Source organism: Homo sapiens, chromosome 6, assembly GCF_000001405.40.
Source record: "Homo sapiens chromosome 6, GRCh38.p14 Primary Assembly".
Lineage (NCBI taxonomy): Eukaryota > Metazoa > Chordata > Mammalia > Primates > Hominidae > Homo > Homo sapiens.
In genome coordinates, this window is record NC_000006.12 from 2,024,028 (window position 1) to 2,046,268 (window position 22,241).

The 22,241-nt window shown below is 37.2% G+C and overlaps 1 protein-coding gene across 12 annotated transcripts in view; it reads right to left on the bottom strand.

Annotated features, from left to right (window-relative positions):
• The window catches only part of GMDS (GDP-mannose 4,6-dehydratase), a 621,800-nt gene that overhangs the window by 400,222 nt on the left and 199,337 nt on the right, over positions 1 to 22,241 (bottom strand). The window contains exon 1 of one of the 12 annotated variants that reach the window (XM_017010752.2): positions 10,783 to 11,065. The exons of the other annotated variants lie outside the window; for them this stretch is intronic. Coding sequence (XP_016866241.1) covers positions 10,783 to 10,866 — 84 coding nt within the window. The 5' untranslated portion in view covers positions 10,867 to 11,065. Of the gene's footprint in view, positions 1 to 10,782; positions 11,066 to 22,241 lie in introns of those variants that run through there. 12 annotated transcript variants of the gene reach the window in all.

Sequence of the window (22,241 nt, forward strand, 5' to 3'; positions counted from 1 at the left end):
TCAGGGAGAATTGCTTTTCACTTTCTAATAATCAAAAAAAGAAAAAAAATTGAGGAGAAAAGAATCTTGAAAGAGTAACAATTACACCAATAGCAAAAATAGATAGTAAGAGATAATAGGATATTTTCATATTGCCAAGAGAAAATTACTGCCAGTTTAGAATTTTGTAACTAGCCAAAATACTATTCAAAAGTAAAAGCAAAATAGAGATTTTTTTCAGACAAGACAGAGAGTTTATAACTCACACGCCTTCACAGAAACTATCATCAAAGGACAGACTTTATCAAGAAGGAAGATGAACTCACAATGCAGCAGCAAGATGGCAGAAATAACAGTGAGTAAAGAAACTGGTGAACATATGGATACATCTAAAGAATTACCAGCCTTATTTAAAAATAACAAAAATAACAATGATTAATTGGAAAGAAAGGCAAACAAGAGAGAATGAAATTACTGGAAAGCAATAAATCGAAACATGGGAAGTAGCAGTTCAGGGTTAAAGTGTTCTCAGTAGGCAATGGGAACTATTAATTAGATTTAGACTTCATCAAGTATGCATGTTAAAGTTAACTATAAAAGCAAAAAGAATACAAAGAGAAAGTATAAATTTGTAACCAACAGCCATGGAAAAGGAAATGAAGAAAATTCTATCAGACTAGCCAAAAGCAAGAAAGAAAAGAGAAGCAAAGAAAAAGGACAAAACATAAATTAACAAGATAGAACTCATCTTTATATCAATAACAGCAATAAGTATAAGTGCATTATTACCTATAAAAGGGAAAGACAACTCCTAAGTTAAAAAAAATACCTAATTATCACTCAAATACACTGAAAGCAAAAAGGACAATTAATTGAAAATATTAGTAGAAAAAGAAATCTCAGGCAACTAGTCACAAAAAGAAAGTTGATTTAGCATTAATCCTTTCTTCTTTTAAATTCTAATACTAATAAGAATAAAAAAGTATACCATATACTAGTAAAAGTATCCACCAAAAGGATATGATAATCATACAACAAGGAGAAACAGATAAAACTATAATGGCAGTGAGAGATTTTGATACTTTGTAGGAATATTATAGTCTTCAATGCAATCATTTAGGAAAAGATACTAAAATAAATGAACCTAACATTCAATAAAAGAAGGAACAGAAGAAAACAACTCAAAGAAAGAAGACATTAAAGTTGATTTTTATTTTTATTTTGTAAAGACATCAAATTTGTTTCCATTTGTATTCACATGTTGTTAATGCCATTAAGATCTTATATATTATTAAATATACTGGAATAATTCAAAAATCAAAACTATTAGTTCTGTAAATCTGATGGTGGGGTGTGTGTGTGTGTGTGTGTGTGTGTGTGTGTGTGTGTGTGTGTGTGTGTTTTGGTAAATATTTATTAAGTGCCTATTAAATGGTCAGGATAAAATGTTCATGTCAAGAAAATAAATATTTAGAACCAATACACATGCACACACGCACACACATACATGCACAGTGGAAGATTTCTTTCTCCTTGTAATTGAAAAAAAAATCAAATCAAGCATTCACTTAACATTATACAGCTATTATTATCCAAGTAAATTAAACTAACATACTGCATGAGTAATAAAAAGAAAGTATTTCCTAATACTTGTACCTTAACCTTTGGGTCTATAAATGAATGAATAAAGATGTATATACCATGTAGCCAGCTGCTAAGTCAGTATGTTCTCCAGCAATCTGAATACATGCTTCAAGCTCAACTCAGTATGTACAGAATACAAAATGGAAACAAAGAGGGCAAGTTCTTTCTTAATCCTAAAAAACCGACATAGGAAATTGCCTGAATAATCAGCTCTGTAAATTAGATTATTCTAACAGTCACATGGCAAATTATCATGTCTGCCTTTCTCTAAGATGTTACATCTTTTTTGTTAAAAAAAAGATTTTTAACTGCTACATGGCCACATAGTCCTTAGAACTTTTTTACATTACCAAATAACTTTTTAAATTAATTTTAAGGTTCCTTAGCACATTGTACTCAAATACTCAAGTTTCACTATATTTTTAATGTAAGAGGTTTAACTCTAAGAACAATTACTTTAGTTCAACAGATACCCACCAAAAACGGTGCTCAAAAGGCAAAGGGAGGTCAAAGGCCACCACCTGGTCCTAGGCCAGAGACCCCCTGGGCTTTCTGGCCATGTGGCTCGCTCTTTATCTCAAGGTGTGGAAAGCCTCCCAGCTTCTCTCACTTCAAACTCAAAAAGCTCCATCTAGTCTTAGTTCCCAAGCACACACCTTCACTCTCCATTCATGAGGTTCCATTTGTTCTGCTTTCCCAGTCCTCACACAAGTATCTTCAGAATGTGTCATGGACTTAATGACGTGGAAAATAAGGATAATAATAACACCAAGTCATGCAGAAAGATCTTTGCAATTTACACGAGACATAAAGAGAAGGGTTAACGCACACATCGTTTCTCTTAGCATGATATTCAAAACCACCAGCAGCTGAATCGACATTTTTATTTTCTACGTCACTGGCCATAGACAGAAACTTGTTGTGAATCTCAGTTTTGTAATTTGTACATGTTATCAGAAAAATTGTTTTAATTTTAGCATGAACATTTCCTAAAGTGCTCACAGCCACTCTCAAAACTTCCTGGGAATTCCTCCCAGTGCCTGGTTTGGATAATGCTGATGGATACAGAGCAAAGTGAACTTCATAGAACCCAGTGTCTGTGGATGAGGCAGCCAGCTGCCAGAGCAATAGAGAAGTGGGATGTCAGTGCATATTAATCAAGCCGAAATTATATACTTTGTAACTTGACTATTACAGCTTCATTAGTTTATTGAATATTGCCCACATGAAGACCTTTGTACTAATTCTGAGATGTTACCAAGAAATAGGAAATGAGGTAAATACATTTTCCAAGGAACACAGATCATATAAGAAATAATAATATCAAAGAAAATATACCAAAAAATCCCCCAGAAATTATGGAATACATTTTAGCATGTACATAATCAAAAGCATAATGGTAAACTAAGAACAGGAACCAGAGAATATAGTTTGAAACAAGATCATTGTGTCTAAATGGCTCCATGAAGAAGAGGACCCTGGCTGGTACTCTGGAAGTTGTAGCATTCTGATCTTATGAAGCGAGGGAGAATGAAGTCCTTGGAGAAAAACGTGGAACAGGTGGACACAGCCAGAGGAAGGAGCGAACACATTTTGGGCAAGGACATTCTCTGTGTGAGACTGGCTGCATGGGCAGAACAAGTGAAGGTAATGGGAGAAAAAAGGCAGCCAGATATAGAGAGATTCACAGGTAGAAAGCTCTGCAACCCAGGGCTTAATTAATATTTTCTTTTCCTTTGAGTTTAGCATGCTCAGAAAGGGGCTAAGGTGATTTTATTTTAAAGCAGGGAATTTGAAAGATTTTTATTTGAATATATAAAATATGCAGAGATGGAGGGAGAAATTCTTGCAAGTCCAGGAGAAAAGTGTTAGGGTTTGGAATAGGAAGAGAAATCATCAACATAATGATAAGCATATTTGGCAGGAGTGAGAAACAACAGCAGAACTTACTGCTCTATGAACATGGCAGCTAAAGGCAAGGAAGATTCTTCCAGAAACAAATGTAAGGAAATAGCAGAGTACAAGACAGTTATTAGAAAACAGGGTAAATAGCATGTAATAATACAGACACAGCAAGAAGCCATAAATTTACATTTCATAAAGTTTATGAAAAGTTTTTATTAAAAATATATTTTTAACGGAAAGTAAAAACTTCACAAAATGATCTGCAAAATTTGAACATGTACAGTAGAAGAAAATGGAGGTTTTGTCATATTAATCAAATTGGCTTTCTATCATGATACAATATATAAACTCATTGCCACTGCAGAGTCCTGTTCTTCTACACTTTTGGACTCTTAAAAAAATTCTAGTGTCTATAGTTCTTTGAACAAAGGTTTAAAAAAAGCTTCAAAACTTTAAAGAAAAACAGAACTCTTGGCGAAAGCTACTATTAAAGGGCCCGCCTTAAAAAAATCTAGCTTGTAAAACAATATCTTACATATTTCAATGAATTCTGATTTAGATCTCCATTTTAGCTTCTTTGAACAAACATCTTTATGTGTAAAATGAATACTTTTGTTCACACAAACAGCGCCTCATTCCATTTAGTTTAATTCATAAGACTGCTTAGCATATGACATTGATATAAACTCACCTTATAAGATTAAAAGAAGCACAGACAAGTTCACTTAAGTTAAATATGTTTTAAGTTTCTCTAAGTGAAGAAAAGCTAAACACATTTTTAAACCCTAAATCATTTAGCTTCTGCAATTATCTCATCTACCAGAACTCTAAAATCAATTTGACTGGACTTTCATTTATGCTTTATAATAGGAAAAAATGACACATTTCCAAATTTAATTAACCAAAACAAAAATTCTTAGGACACCCCATGTAATTCTGAGTGGACTAAACAATACATCTTCGTCGCTCAGGACAAAAGGTCATTTGGAAGGGATGTACCTTTAAGGGTTTACAAAGGCTTGATCTTCAGTCTTGTAACGAAAGAGGAAGCACATCTCAGCAGAGGAAGGATGCCCACTTTAAATAAGGAAATGGGCTTGCAGGATGCACACATGCTGCTTTCTATTAATGATAAGCACAGTCTACAAAAAGAGCCTCAGAATGCTTTAACTTTCATGTAGAATACCTGCAGAGAATGTCTAACATAAACAAAACGACAAGTAATGTGTCCACTCACCGTTTTATGAAATGATTTATGTGTTCATAATAGAGGCTAGTAAATACTAACGACTATATTCCAGTTAACAGCTGTAATTACTGGTGTGATGATTGTATGCCAGGATCCATGCCAATAATGTTTTGGGAGCAAAGCATACTTTAGGGGTTTATGAGGATGATTATACAAGATAGATGGCTCTGCTGGGTGATTTTTTTTCTTTCTTTCTTTTTTTTTTAACCAGAGGGAATGAGATGGCAGAAATTAAGACCTTTACCATACCTTTTTTAAAAAATAGATAATTATATATGTTTAAGAACTGGAAAGCATTTTGTTAAAGTTTAATCTCTTTCAAGACAGAAAGTAAATCCAATCAAAATCCCAGCAAATATTAATCTAAATTTAATTGTGGACATCACCTTTTGGCTTCTTCCATCTCTGCCTGTGTCTGTGTGTGTCTGTCTCTCACACACATATATTTACACACACACCCTAACCAGATATTTTGCAACTACATTAAAATAAATCATAACCTTTATTTAATTACTCAGCAGGTGACTGTCCGGTTTGTCAACCTGCCCTGTCTCTGACTCCCCTCAAATTCCTTCTCACCACCTATCAGTAATCCTTGGGGCATTCTGCTATTTCTTAACACCTCAACTAAGAGATATTAAAAGCAGATAAATTATCTACCTGGCAAAAATTTACTGCAAATTGTCCAGGGTATTGGTAATTTCCCAGAATTATGTCTGCATTGACAGGACAGTTTTGCCAACTGCACCTGCAGTCCAGCCCAACCTCTCCTCCCAGTATAAGTGGCAAACTTAAAAAGGCTGGAAACACTTTGCTCATTTTACAAGACTTGTGTCAGGCATCACTTCTATTATGAAATAATCTTGAATTGTGTTCTGGAGGGATCTGGGGCCAACCCCATGCTGGATCACATAAGTCTTACTAAGTGTATGCTTGGATTCCATGTGTCACCCCAAAAGAAAAGCTTATCTTTAACAAATTTATTTAAAATTTTGACATCAAAATATTCCAAAGAAATATTTTGAAGAAGGTACTTTAATTTAAATATAAATTTAAATTTTGTGTCATTTTGAATTATATATTGGGGTGTACAGGAGCAGCATGTAATACTATCTTCTGTGCTGGGGGCCTCCTAAGGATTTTACTCGGTCCTAGTCAAACCTCTACAATAAAAACAGATAGCATGCATTACATCCAACTCGTGAACTGCCTTTCTCCCAGTGATATGAAGACAGTCCAGAGAAGGGGGCAGGTTGGAGGAGGAGGGAAGCGGGTGCCCACACAGAGATCAACACACAGCCCATGTGGTTCCCACAGCATGCTCTGCACAACCAGACAGATCCATCACTGCTGGTTACTGTCCATCTCCTCCACAAGAGTCTGTGGGTTTGGTCTTTGCAAGATCATTTCGAAATTAAAAGTGGACAAAGATAATATATGCCCACATCTTCTTAAAGTATGTGTGGGGGTGGTGCATGGGAACACCTGTGTCAAATTTGTGATGCTGGAGAGCCAAGAAAAAGATAAGGGAGGCAAATCTGAATCTGGTGGTTGTAAAGCACCTGGAGGAAATTTTGCTGTTCTTTCTCCAGCATCTGCGAATTTGTAGGACGAGGTTAAGAGGGAGCACACAACTTCCAATGTTGTCCCAACTTCTATTTTACATGGACCTTGCTCCCTACATAAAATGCATATAAAACCCTTTCTTATTTAAATTTCCCAAGGATTTGCAGCAGTTTGTACAACACATTTGGCCACAGTAAGTCTCAGGGCTCTAAATGACCTCTGGGGATGAATGACATGTGCACACAGAAGAATTTATAAGACTCACTCTATAACAGTTCCTTTGGAACTATTACTTTCTGAGGGTGAAGGTAACAGATTTTTTTTAAGTAGTACAGTTGACAAACTATGCATTGGCTCCAAACAAGGCCGTGTGCGCTAGATAAACATAGTAAAACTGTTATAAAGTGGTTCGCTAAATTGTAGCTATACTGTAGCTCAAAATGTATTGCTTGGGACATAGTGATATATAGCATATGTTTCACTAAAATGTGAAAAAGCCTAGAACACAAGTATTATCTTTGTGACTCAACACCAATACAATAACAAGGATTTTCTCCAATTCCTTTTATAAACAAAATAAATTATTACTGTATCAACTCTCTCACACGTAAAGATGATCACATTACTCTCTACACCAGGGTCACAAATTCAAATGCAAGCATGTAGTATAAATACATAAAGCAGGCCAGGTGCAGCTACGGTAAACTCAAACAATGGTTCTCACACTTTAATGTGCATACAGAAATCGCCCTGTTAACACGCACATCCTGATGCAGTAGTTCTGGGGTGGAGCCATGGATTTTGAATTTCAAACAAGCTCCTCAGAAAAGCAAAGAACTAGAGAGCTCTTTTCCCTTTCAGCTGTTTTGCCCAGGCTGAGGCCTCCACACAGGAGTGCCACTGGGCTTGGTGCTGGTGATTTCTCAAAAGCTGGAAATTCACTCATTCAATCAGTTTCCCAACCTCTTCTGTGTTCTAGGTATCCTAGATACTAAAGATGTAGCAGTGAACCAAACAACTACAAATGGATGCCCTCACAGAGTTACCTGGATAACAGGAGAGGAGAGACACCCAACAAGATAAATAAGTAAAATGTATAGACCAGTGTAAGTGCTTAGAGAAAAAAAAAAAAATCAAGTTGAAAAGGGTGTGTGTGTCAGGGTGGGGATGGGGATACAATCTGAGATAGGGTGACCAGAGATGGTCTCACTGAAAATGTGATATTTGAGTCCCTGGAAGAAAGTGAAGAAGAAAGCTATGAGGACATCTGGGGAAAGAAACAGAAGCAAAAACAGAAGTAAAAAACAGAGGTAGGAAATCTGGGCTCAGGGCATTCCTGGTGTGTGAAACTGAACTGCCCCAGAGGCCAGGCAGCTGAGGAGCAGAGTGACTGTGGGCAAGCCTGGCGGGTACCTTAAAGCCTAAATGTTTCCTGTACTTTCTTCTGATTTCTAAATGCTAACAACTAAGTTGTAACTTTAGAAAATATTTTAGGCCCATGGTCACCACTTTCTGGCCTCTATAGTTTTAAAAGTTTGAAAATACAATTAACATTTTAGTGAAATGCCTTATGAAAACATTAGCCATTTTTATTACTGCCTAATTTCTCCTAAGTCTTAAACTATATTAAAAATTTATAATTGTATAATCAGAACTTATTATTGAAAATGGGCACACACAAAGATCCATAAAGAACAAGTGTAGAAGTTAGAACCTCTCAATGACCAAAGGGTGGAATAAAATCCCAGCAAAAGATAGTATCCAGTTGCCCATCAACAGTTGCTAGTTCATCATCGGGAAGACATATACTGTGAACTGTTTTTCTGGTGCTGGTGATAGGTTTGAACTGGAGACATACAGCTATTCCTCAGTCTCTCTGTAATCAATGTCAAGCATTTGAAAGGAAAGTAGCCCAGGTCAAGGATGCCTTAAGAGACAATAAATCAAATTTGTCTTTTATCTTCTTCTTATGGAATCCTATACAGCTGGAAATCTCAGGGCCAAATCTGCAAGCCTTCTCAGGAAATCTACAGAATTTCATGGATATAATTTGTATGTGTACTAATCTCATTTTTGGTACCACAATATTAAATTTATTTTCTCTTGGCATATTGTATGTATTTGCACAATCCTTAAGTCTCCTTAAATCCCTTTCAAAATGAGATCTGGAATCCATTCATTTATTAAATATTTACTGATGCCTACTACACAACAAGTATTGTTTTAGGTTCTTGGGTATATATCAGAAAACAAAACAAAGATGTCGGCCCTTAGAAAGCTTATGAAAATATAGAGAGAGGCATAAAACAAAAAGGTAATTTGCTTACAAGGAGTCTGATTTAACCAGTAACCTAACTGGTAGCAGTAGTATCTCCATTCATCATTATAAAACTGCTAATTCACAGGTAGCTAAAACGTCTTCCAGAAAGTCACCATATAAAACAGAGGTAGCATTTGGAATACAACCTGTGGTGATAGATACAATACAGTTCCTCTTACTGATTTGCCATGTAACTTACTAATTCCTCTAAGGAGAGGATGCAAAGAAAACTTCTAACACCAATCTGGAACTTCTCAAATTTCATTTTTAAAAATTCTAAATTGAAAGCATAAAATGCAAATAAACATGTAACATGTAGTTAAATTATCTTTTCAAAGGAAAAAGTATGTTAAATCATGCAAACAGTTGAATGAATTATCATGAAGGAAAATGAAGTCTTTGCAATTCAAGTAGTTTCCAATCCCAGATTATTTTAAATTGATACTTCCTTCATTTATAGTTTGAGCCAAACCATATGACCAATGAAATAATAATTGCATAATCACTGAATCAATAATGCAATGATTCATTAACCAATGCATAATAATTGCTGAAAGACACCACAAACCCAATCATGTGGTTAGGAGTAAAGAAGGCAGCAAGAAGTTTCCAAAGTATCATGTTATACTGCTCTTAAATTAAAAAGCTAGAGCAATATTTCCCTTAAACATCTATCATATTAATTGATTGGGAGGGTTCTCAATTATTTTTGACCAAGGGCCTAAGGAAATCTTTCCAGACTTTCTGAAAAAGTTGTATACTGAAACTGGTCAGGCATAGGACAAATCCTTCACTTTATCACTGAACCAAATAGTCTTCTGTCTTCTTAAACCTTTTGTAAGTAACTTCCTAAGGAAAAAATTAACAATGTTTGATTTATAAGAATAAATTTATTTCTTAAAAGAATGCTTTCAGAATATAAGAAGGCTTCTGGAAATTAGTTACTTAAGGATTAAACTATCAGGTGTTCACCGCCATTGCTTTTATTGCCCCTTTTGCCCTGTGATGAGCTTAGATCCTAACAGTACAGATGAGTCGTTCCTAAACTAAGTTGCACAAAGAATCACTGGAGGTACTTTCTAAAATGCAGATTCTTGGGTTTAACCTCCAGAGAACATGTTTCAGTAGCTCTAAGATGGAGGTGTTGAAACTGTACTTTTCACAATTGCCAAAATGTTTCTAATATGGCCTATTTGTAAATATTCTGGAATCAGATCCGAAGGAGACTGTGTACCAGTCCGGAGGCATATAAAAGAACCCATGGGGATACTGAAAAAAATATTAAAACTTTCATAGTCATTGTTATGTCATCCATTTCAATTTTTTAGTCACATGATTTCTAACACACAGAATATACTGGTACAGGATTAAAGGTATTTAATGATAAATAGATATATGTATATGCATATATGTGTGTGTATATAAGGGACACGTACAAAAATATTAAATATGTGCACTTATCTTCTATAACAGGGGTCAGTAAACTTCTTTAGTTTACGGACAGACAGTAACTATTTTAAACTTTCCAGGCCACATATCATCTCTGTTGTATAATCATCTTTGCTGTTTTTCTTTTACAAACATTTAAAAATGTAACAACTCCTATTAAAAAAAGATTACATACTGTATTATTCCATTTACATGAAACGTCTAGAATGAGCAAATCTACAGAGACAAAGTACATTTGTGGTTGCCAGGGGCTGGGGCGGTAGGAGAGAAAAGGAATGTTGGTGCCAATGGGTATGAGCTTTCTGTTCGGGGTGATGACAATGCTCTAAAATTCACTGTGATGATAGTTACGCAACTCTAGGAATAAACTAAAAACTACTGAATGTTGTACTTTAAATAGTTGAATTTATGGTATGTGGATTTTAATGTCAACAACGCTGTTATTAAAAAACGTAACATTCCTTTTTACCTCTGGGTTGCAACTGGCTCACAGGCCAACAGTGATCTAGAACAACAGTTCTCAAAGTACGGTCTGGAAGTCCAGAGAGTGTCCAAGACACTTCTGGGGTGTCTGCGAAGCCAAAACTATTATCAAAAAATACAAACACATCATTTGCCTTTTTTGTTCTTATATTCTCACACGTATACAGTGAAGTTGTCCAGAGCTTACCTGATACGTATTAAAACACACCAAATGCAGAAGCAGATAGGAGAAGCCAGCCAATCCGTTTCTGGCCTGGAAGGTAGGCATCATTCCCAAGGTCAAGCAACCACTTTTGAGACCATGAGGAAGAAACCCAGCCTGAGGATGGTTGGGGGGAAAAAGAAGAAGCTGCCACCCCTGCTAGCCCTATGGAACTGCTACACCATCTCTAGTCTACCTTCTCTAGCCTTCTTACCACATAAGAAAAAATGATTTAAGCTGTTTTCAGGCCTCTAACTTATAGCTGAATAAAATTCTTCACACACACAACATCACATTGCTCCACAATTCATAAACAGAACCCTCCCCCTGAACACTGTCTCCTCTCAGATGGCCTCAAGCCAGGCTACACCATGTGGAGGGAAGGCTTCATTATGAAAGGTGTTAATCATTAACAAAGATGTCAAATTAACTGTTCTCCCCTCATGTGCCAAGTTTTCTCTCCTCGGTATGTTGAATGCTGTGCCTGACCTGCCTAGATGCCCTTCTCTCCATTTCCCAGAGCTCAAAGCTTATCCATTCTTCAAGGCCAACCCAACTCATGAGTCAGCTCCTCATGATATCAGGATATGTCTTCCCTGATTTTCCAAGGATTCACCACTATACATCTCCCACATCTTGTGTCTCAAATGGCACTTACTTTCTATTTGGCATTTGACCTATTTCTCTGTCTTATCATTCATTTCTGTATCCCCCATCATACATACCAAGAGACTTCTCTCCTAAATAAAAGCTCAAATTTGTGTCAATTATATCAATATTATTACCTATGGTCAAGTTATTTAGGAAGCAGAAAATAACACAGAACAACAGAGTAAAAGAGTAACTTATTTATTTATATTTATTTATTTATTTATTTTTTGAGATGGAGTCTCGCTCTGTCACCCAGGCTGGAGTGCAATGGTGCAATCTTAATTCACTGCAACCTCTACCTCCCAAGTTCAAGTGATTCTCCCACCTCAGCCTCCTGAGCAGCTAGGATTACAGGTGTGCACCACCATGCCCGGCTAATTTTTATATTTTTAGTAAAAACGGGGTTTCACCATGTTGGCCAGGCTGGTCTTGAACTACTGACCTCAAGTGATCCAACCACCTTGGCCTCCTAAAGTGCTGGGATTACAGGTATGAGCCACCGCGCCCAGCCAAAAGAGTACTTTAAAATCCTCTCCACAAGTAATCTCATGTCGCAGGGCAGCCTGGCCTGGGCGACTGTCTCAGCCGTCATTTATTGCACCTCTAAGAATTAGATGACAGTGTTCTCCTTTCACCTAACTTTAATTTAATGTAAGAATTTGTGTGCCTAATGAAAATCAACTCAACCCTGAACTCCCTTTTCAAGTCAATGAAGGAAATCGGGAGACTTAATTAAATGGTGAAATAAAGCCCTTTTAAGGAGGATTTATGACCCTTCTGTGTAAAGTATTTAAGATAACAAGGTGTTGATAAATTAGGTCTTGGCTGGATAAAGATCTAAACACATCAGTATAACAGATTATGAAGTTGTCTTTCATAAACGCAGATCTCGGGAATAAACTGAGTTATTGATTCATTAATAGGTTTGCTAACTGGAAAAAAAAAATCACTGATTTTCAGAGCCTTACTGCTTGTTGGCACCTAGTAATCAATGCTTCTTCCCAGGAAGGTCTGTCCCAGGGATCACTTAGTACATCAACTGTTCTAGGCTTTAGCAATCCATACAAGGCATATAGAAATTCCTGGCGTTACCCATTATCATACTTGTGTGTCCCAAATAAATGGGGCTCCAGGCAAAATGCCAAGACAGTGTTAAACAGTAAGACCATATATGCTGATTAATGATAATTCTCTTCCTATAAATGTCAGAAAGTAAATATAGGATATACTGAGAATAAGCAGTTATCCTCACGAAGCATATTCTATGGGAAAAGTAAACCATAAACAAGATAAAACAAGCTGCACGGAAAGACTTCAGAGCCTATGGCATGCTGATATGTACTGTGAAATCTGCATGGTAAGCAGTATTCTCCAAATTAACGTGGCGTAGCTCACCTTATGCTATCCTGAACCATAAAACACACTTTCGTAAGTAAGGTTTTAAATAAGTGCTCAGTAGATACATCCTAATTTCTATTCCTGTTGTACCTGGAGTTATCTTTTGGAGGCGAAAGGTAATGAGGTAGGAACAGCCTGAACTTGTGAGATAAAAGGAGGGAGCCCTTGGTAGCATCATGATTATAAATGACATTTCTCTAATAAAGGTAACTGCACTTAGGGAGCTGAAGAAATGGTTCAGTCAGGCAAACTGTCTGGGTATCAACACTTCATACACTTGGAGCTCTCCCGTGAACTGACAATGCCCCTTCAACTTCACCCTCAATGAGAACTGCTTCTTGTACAAGTAAAAGAAGGTGGGAAACAGATAAAAATCTTAGTGGAGAGTTACAAATGGTCCAAAAAGGAGGTAAACTAGATTAAGTTCTCACACTGTAGAATCAGTCAAAAAACTACACGACGTTGTTGTAACCAGAGCCTCCAAATAAACCATTCCCACTGAAGTACGCTGGTTCACACTGCAGTTCCCTCACTAGTCAGCTGTGCATGGGGGTCCTGCTCATTCTGGACTCCCAGGACAGAGAAGCAGCATCTGACACATGTCCCTCACAATGGGGGAGGGAGTAGCAGGAAAGAAAACTCTGGTTTGGTAAGTCTGAGTTCAAACAGACGAGAAGTACAATCCTATCTTGTGCCCAGAACAAGAAACCAAACATCGGTGATGGCATCAATGTCTACGTCATAGTTCACCTCAAATTATGTCTTTGGGAGGGGAAAATTCTACAAATTATGCTGTAACATAACAAAGCGCCTGGATGCTGTGAATAGAAAGAAGTGGTTGCTTGGGATTTGGTTCTGCTGCTCTCTAGTGTTTACAACCGCTCAAGCCGCACTTTCCTTAGCACTAAGGTCTCAAAGGTGTTGGCAACCTGCACATGGTTTCTAAAGGAGCCTGAAAGGAAGACATAAAGACAAGGAGCAAATGAAGACAAGAGAGCAGGGGAAAGAGAAAAGCGGTAAAAATAAATAAATAAATAGATAAATAAGTACTGTAAGTAGTACTAGTATAATGGTTGTTTCCAAAGATAAACATTTTAACTATTCCCTGCCACAATATCTCCAGTTTACCTGCCTTGGTACACCATACTTTTAAAGTTAACCTTGAACCTTGAAATAAAGAGGGTTGGGGGGGAGGTGGTGGTGAAAAAACTAGCTCACCAAAGCGCCCTTATAAATTAAAGCCTGAAGTTGGGCTCGGTCCCTTTTCATTGAAGATCGCCCCCCTTTGCCATCCCCACCTCCTGACACAAAGCTGGTTTTGTCCCAGCCTTGCATCAGCTGCACAGTACAGGGTGTACATGCTGAAAAGCAGCTGTTTGCTGACAGACTGCGAACTGGGACAGCTAGCTAGAGCTAAGTGAAGTGGTTAACCCACATCCCTTCCCCACTGATAAAGTGCTTTGATAAGCAAACTATACTGGTAAAAGCTGGAAAGACTGCCAGAAAAGCCGCGCTCAAGAATGAATGCAGGCTTGTTTTGAGGGAGCTTATGCTTTCACACTGTCGACTTTAGCCTTCACTCCTGGTCCCCACCTCCACTGGGCCCGCACACTTCAGTGTTCCTTCAGCTAGCAGCAAGACCCATTCTTTGATATGTCAAATCAATATCCTGCTCATACAGAAAAACAAATATATATTTTAAAACACTGCAAAAAAAAACAGCTCTTCATATAACTTTTCTCAAAAGTATTCTTCCCAATTCAGACTCCTATGAGAAGCAAAGCATTAATTCCTCCCGAAATATGCTCCTTGGATCAGTGACTGCTGAGTAACATAAGCACATAAATTTTTTCTCCAACTTTTATTAACAAAATGAAATTTGAAGTTAAAAAACATGAGGGTTATTTGGAGTTTCAACTGCTGTGCACTCTGGACATATAGTTGCTCATTAATGGCAGAAGGCAGGGGCAACGTGAAGGCACACTAACCTTAACTAATGTTTTTCTTTGGGAATATGTCCCTCATTTAGATTTGTGGACTGGAGTGCTTGAATTCCGCTAACATACAGCCATGTATCACATAACAGCGGGGATACATTCTGAGAAATGTGTCACTAGGCAATTTCATCGTGCAAACATCATGGAGTGAATTTACATAAACCTGGATGGTACAGCCTACTATACGCCTAGGCTGTATGGTAGAGCCTATTGCTCCTAGGCTCCCAACCTGTACAGCAGGCTGCTGTACTGAATACTGTAGGCAACTGTGACACAATGGTAAGTATGTGTGTTTATAAACACGAAAAGTACAGTAAAAGTACAGTACAAGAGATGAAAAATGGTACATCCGTATAAGGTACTTCCCATGAATGGAGCTTGCAGGACTGGAAGTTGCTCTGGGTGAGAGTGAGTGAGTGGTGAGTTGATGTGAAGGCCTAGGACATTAATCCACACTAATATGGACTTCATGAACTTTATGGACTAATATGGACTTTATGAGCACTGTACACTTAGGCTATATTAAAGTCACAAAAATATAATTAACCTTAGCTCACCATAAATTTTTTACTTTATAAACTTTTTAGTATTTTTAATTTTTTGATTCCTTTGTAATATTACATAGCTGAAAATGTAAACACACTATACAGTTAAACAAAAAATATTTTCTTTCTTTATATCCTTATTCTATAAGGTTTTTTTTCTAATTTTTATGAACTTTTTAGATTTTTTGTTAGAAATGAAGACACGAGCACACACATTACCCTAGGCTTACATAGGGTCAGGAACATCAATATCACTGTCTGTTACCTCCACGTCTTCTCCTGCTGGAAGGTCTTCAGGGGCAGTGATATGCAAGGAGCTGTCGTCTCCTATGATAACACCTTCTTCTGAAATCCCTTTTGAAAGACCCGCCTAAAGCTGTTTTATAGTTAACTTTTAATATAAGCAGAAGCACAGTCTAAAATAATGATGAAAAAGTATAATAAGCACATAAACTAGTAGTATAGTCATTTATTATCAAGTATTATGTACAGTACATAACTGTATGCGCTAGACTTCTATACCACTGGCAGTGCAGTAGGTTTGTTTACACCAGCGTCACAAACACCTGCGTAACATGTTGTGCTACAATATTACAATGGCAACATCACTAGGTGATAGAAACTTTTCAGCACCACTATAATCTTATGGTGCCACTGTATATCCAGTCCTTCATTGACCAAAATGCGGTTATGCAGCACATAACTGTACTTCCTCTAAGCCCAATGGCTCCTCATTGCCCAAGTGAGAGAGCACACCAGACCACCCTTGTACCTCTCTACAAAGAAGGGGGAGTGGCAAAGGGCAGGTAGGCTGCTATGTCCACAGATGCATTTAAAGTAGGGGCTCAATGCAACACTGGGCCAATAAGAACATTCATCAATGTTGATCAGCACCAGGTGGTGGGCATATCATAAATTTGGCTTAAACCCTGTGTAATAAAACACAATTTTATGATCATGCTTTTTAGAGAAAGAATCAGTGACTGTGGGAAATTAGAGGCTAGTTACTATCCAGAACATGGGTTAGGAAACAGTTATATGATCTACATGGCTTACTTGCTATCAGAAAGGATGGCTCTTTATAGAAAGCACATTAATAACATTATCTTTGTATTCATTATTCATATGTTCCTTTCCAGCAGCAATGTACATTAATTTTTAAAGTAAAATATATCAGCCTGTAAGAGCTGTAGAGGACTTTATGAAGAGAAAGTAGAGGCAATAGGAGATGATGAGGTTTAGGACACATTGCCCAAAAATATGGCACACTGACATTTGAGAAAACAGCAGAAGCAGGAAGGTCACTCTCACCTTCTCCTCACCCTTCTCCCCCGAAGCAGGTCATAAAACTCTCCTTCCAGAGGTGTCCTCCCAATACCCAGAGGAAAAGAACACCCTTATCTCTGATCAAAGAGATCAAACCCTGTTATCCTCCAATCACACTTGTGTAGACTGTCTATTTCTTCATCAAACACAGCACAAAAATACACAGGTTTCCCTGTTTCTTTGGGTCTTCATTTCTGAAGACTGCCGTGTAACTTAAAATTGACAGCAAATAAACGTCTACACTTTTCTTTTATTAATCTTTTATTTTAGGGGCCTTAGCAATGAACCTTGTAATAGATGAGAAAGGACATTACTTTTTCTCCCCTACAGAGACAACTTTACTTGCAGAATTCTTGCTCTGTGGTTCTAAGGTAGAAAGCTAACTAATACTCAAAAGGATATTACATCCATGTACAAATGCATGTAAATATGTATACAAAAATGCACATATGCCGACATATATATAAACAGAATTTCTAATAACTGCAAAGCCTGCAGTAAAAGGTGAAAAAAAGATTAGATAAATAAATGCCTAAGGCAGTACTTGTTATAGGTATGCCCAAAAAATGGTAATAAATGAAAAAACTGAAATGCAAGAGAATGTGACTATTTCAGTCACCTGGAGAGTGGTGTGTTCACTAATGGACCACAGGTAATGATAGTAACACCCATGACATTTATCTCAGACCATTTAATTAAACTATATGGCATGAGACATTTTTTACAGAGCCATTCTGACACCAAGGCCATTTTGACTGGGCTTAAAGAAAACAAACCATTGAACTGTTTCGACTTTTAAAACATTATCCACTAACATGTGCTACAGACAGCTGACCTAATCCCTGATCCTCACCCTCCCATCCTGGGCCTGAAGAAGAGGTGGGGAGCAGGCTGAGGTGAGGGTCAAGGGGAGGTGGGGTCATGGGGAGGTGGAGGTCAGGAGTGCAGTAGGGCTCAGGGGTGTCTGCTGAACATACTGCTTGATACATTTTTTAAACATCAATTTTATACCATATGACATTGTAAAAACACATAAATTTGGAAACTCCTAGAAAAGTTTCAGGTAAAAATGGTAGAAAGTCTATTACAAATAGCAGCATGGACAGAAGTGGAGATAAAGTAAACAAATACCTTTTTAAAAAGAAGATATGTGTCCAAGAGCAGAGGTGACAATGCCACCCACAAATGTGACCATTTCCCACATGCCTATGCACATGGACTGTGTAATATTCCATCCCATCCAAGGAAATCGCTTTAATGGAAAAGATATCACTTAAAATTTGGGTCAAACGCCCTGATCAATAAGTGAGACTTTGGGTCTGAAGGAGATAACCCTGAGATAACTGTGGGAAATCATGACAAAATGACATATAATTTTAGAAAAGGCAGTAAAGAAAAACATTTTAAGTTTGCTTGCTTGAAAGCTACATGAACTTGCATTTACGGGTGTTCCACTGATTGTACTTAACTTTAACAAGCATTGCCTTTAACAGTGAATACCTTAAAGTATTCAACAGTTAAGAAAAAGGAAAGACTATTAAAAATTATCCACAACGGCTAAGGAAATTTCCTGGCCTCTTTTCTTCTCCTAATGCCCAATGGCTGACCCATCAGCAGGTCTCCTCTGTTCTACTTCCCAGTATCTCTCAAATTCACTTCCTCCCAACCCCACCTGCACTCAAACTCGTCCCCACCCCATACCCTGGGCACCCTCCGTAGTGTGGCCAGAGTCACCTTTACAGGCTATACACCTCTCTCCAAAGCTTACAGCGAAAGAATTACATGGGAAAATTGTTCCAAAACACATTTACAGGGCTCATCTATTGACAGTCCAATTTTTAAATTCCAATTTAAAAAGTTGTAGCTTAAAAAATTTTTTTTAAGTTGTGGCTTAGTACCAAGGAACCTGAATTTTCAACATGGAGTCCAGACAATTTTGATGTATGTAGTCTTTAGAACCTATCTTGAGAAGTGCTCTTATTAGATTCAAACCCTTTATCATTTTCAAAAGAAATCAAAAACACATGAAACTTAATATTTTTTAAAGACCCAGTAACAACTAACAAAGCCTGCTGATGACTATAATTACTTTCCACTCGGACTCGTTTCCTTAAATTAAGACACTAAATAAATTATGGTATGATTCACAAACACCCTCCAAAATGTTTAGGTAAAGTGAAGACTGACTATGACCTAAATATTCATAAGCATCCATATGACACTTTCTAAAGTTCCCTTGGTTCTAATAAAGTACTAATAAAGACAGCACTATGGCTAGAAAGACATCTGTGGACGTCTCTGGGGTTTCATCAAGCCTCATGAGTCTAAAAGAGTGATGTGAAGACAAAGGGGTCCTGCAGCAAGCAGAAGGTTCCTGCCGTCACTCAGCACCTCAGCTCGAGGAGGCAGAGATGGTTTGCCCACAGTGACAGCTGTCCTCTGCAGCTAGCTTACATGGCTTCACAAGTCAGACCTCTCTGTTCAAAGCAAGGTTACATCACTGTTGAAAAATCCTCAGTTTTCCTGTCCCTTAACAGGGCTCCTGCAAATCTTTACTATTCAAGCAATCTTGTAGGAAAAGCACTCGAATATACCTCATAAGATCCTAGTTGCTTTCCTGATTTCATCTCAGCAGTCTCAACACCTTCATAAGCTGGATGGAGCTAGAGAGAAGCAAAGCCAGAGCACTGGGAGCCACAGCGGGCAGAGCCAGCAGCACAGCCCTGTCTCCACAGCTCCCACCTGTCTGACCACAGCAGCCCCTGGCACAGAAACACTTGGAAGAGGGCCACTACCATATGGTAAGCACTCATTTGGATATTTTGAATTAAATAAAACATATTATTAACACTAATTTATCTGTTTAAGTTTTTTAAATGTGGCTATTATAAAATTTGAAAGTGCACGTGATACTCACACTATATTTCTGTGAGACAGTGCTAGCTTGCACTCTTACCTGTGAGATAAAAAATAAACTTGTTTTTGAGCTTCTGCACAGCAAAATAAACTATCAACAGAGTAGACAGACAAACTTACAGGATGGGAGAAAGTTTTTGCAAACTATACATCTAACAATGGTCTAATATCCAACACATATTAGTAACTTAAATCTACAAATTTGCAGAAAAAAAAACAACAACAACCCCATTAAAAGTGGGCAAAGGACATGAACAGACACTTTATAAAAGAAGACATACGTGTGGCCAACAAGCATATGAGAAAAAAGCTCAACATCACTGATCATTAGAGAAATGCACATCAAAATACAGTGAGATATCATCTCACACCAGTCAGAATGGCTATTATTAAAAAGTCAAAATAAAACATGCTGGCAAGGTTGTGGAGAAAAAAGAATGCTTACACACTGCTGGTGGGCATATAAATTGTTCAAACACTGTGAAAAGCAGTATGGCAATTCCTCAAAGAACTAAAAACAGAACTAACATTCAACCCAGCAATCCCATTACAGGGTATATACCCAAAGAAATGTAAATAACTCTATCATAAAGACACATGCACGCATATGTTCACTGCAGCACTATTCGCAATAGAAGACATGAAATCAACCTAAATGTCCATCAATAGTAGACTGGGTTTTTAAAAATGTGCTATGTATACACCGTGGAATACTATGCAGCCGTAAAAAAGAACAAGATCATATTCTTGGTGGGGACATGGATGGAGCTGAAGGCCATTATCCTTAGCAAACTACTGGAGGAACAGGAAAACCAAATACTGCATGTTCTCACTTGAAAGTGCAAGCTAAATGATGAGAACACATGGACATACAGAGGAAAACAACAGACACTGGGGCTTCCCAGAGGGTGGAGGGTGAGAGGAGGGAGAAGATCAGGAAAAATAACTCATGGGTACTAGGCTTAATACCTGGATGATGAAATAATCCGAACAACAAACCCCGTGGCGTGAGTTCACCCATATAACAAACCTGCACGTGTACCCCTGAACTTTTAAAAGTTAAAAAAAATGTTTTTAAGTACAGCATAGTTTCAAAGTGAATACAGGAAATGCCATTATTAATTGGAACACTTCAAGTGTTTCACAGCTAAATATGTCTGTTAATGGTTCCAGGTAGAATTTTATTAATGCCTGGCACTTGTTCAATCTATAATTTTTTCTTTTCTGTGTGTGTGTGTGTGTGTTTTTTTCAGGCCTTTGATAACTTTACAATTCGATTAGGAACTATCTCACCTTTTTCAAAGCACTCCGAAAATTAAATGGCACAAAAATCATCCATTCACTAAAGGCTTATAAAATGATGAAGAAAAAGAGCCTTTCAGAACTTTGTTTTCACAATTGTTACTAATGTTTTGTAACTGTTATTTCTGTGGTCACTAGCCTATTTAGATTTTCTTGAATTAATTTTAATAATTTATATTTTCCTATAAAATTCATTTCATTATTTTTCCCATATCTTTTATCATGTTAAAAAGTCTTAAATTTAAGGAAAAATCTCCTCTCTAAAAGATATTTCATCTCTCATTTCTTACATTTTTAGGCGTGTCTTTCTTCTCTCCTTTATTCTTGATTAGCACTGGCAATCAATAACCATATTTTAAATTCATTAATTATATTGTTTATATATTACTGCTTAATGTTCTTATATTTATTAATTCCTTCCTCTATTTTTTCAGGTTCTTTTTTTTTTCCTGAGAAAGAATTGAATAATTAGCTGTTTTTTTCTTTCTTGCTTAAGGACAAAATTTCAACATGATTTATAATTGTAATACTATTGCTAAGGTCAAAATAATCCATTCTCAAAGTTTCAGTTTATTTTTTTAATACAAAAAGTTAAAAGGCATCATGTTGTTGTGTTTTATATTTCACCATAATTGGTTTTGGGGGTTTTGTTTGTATGTTTGCTTGTTTCTACAAGAGGTAGGGTTGCATGGTGACAGTGGTGGTAAGGGTGCAGGGAGGAGATTATCAACCTTTCCTGGAGTAATCCTAAATGTCATGACAATGGAGTTCTTAAACTAGCACTGAAATAAAAAAGAGCTAGCCCCAGTCAAAAAAAAAATCAAATTAAATATATTTTACTATGAGCTTAATTTCAACAATCCCATTTGTAAGTAATAACTATAACACCACTAGACATGGATGAAGGCTACGGGTCACTAAAAACAATATGCATATATGAGACAGCTTAGTTTTTAAAATCATAAGCTCAGCTGGGTGCAGTGGCTTACACCTGTAATCCCAGAATTTTGGGAGGCCAAGGCAGGAGGATCACTTGAGCTCAGGAATTCAAGACCAGCCTAGGCAATATAGCAAGACCTGTCTCTACAAAAATGTAAAAACAAGCCAGGAGTGGTCACACACACACACCTGTAGTCCCAGCTACTCAGGAGGCTGAGGTGGGAGGATCGCTTGAGCCCAGGGAGCAGAGTCTACAGTGAGCCAAGATCATGCCACTGCACTCCAGCCTGGGCAACAGAGCAAGAGCCTGTCTCAAAAAAGTAAAATAAAATCATAGACTAAAGAAAATTAGACAAACCAATGTGTTTTG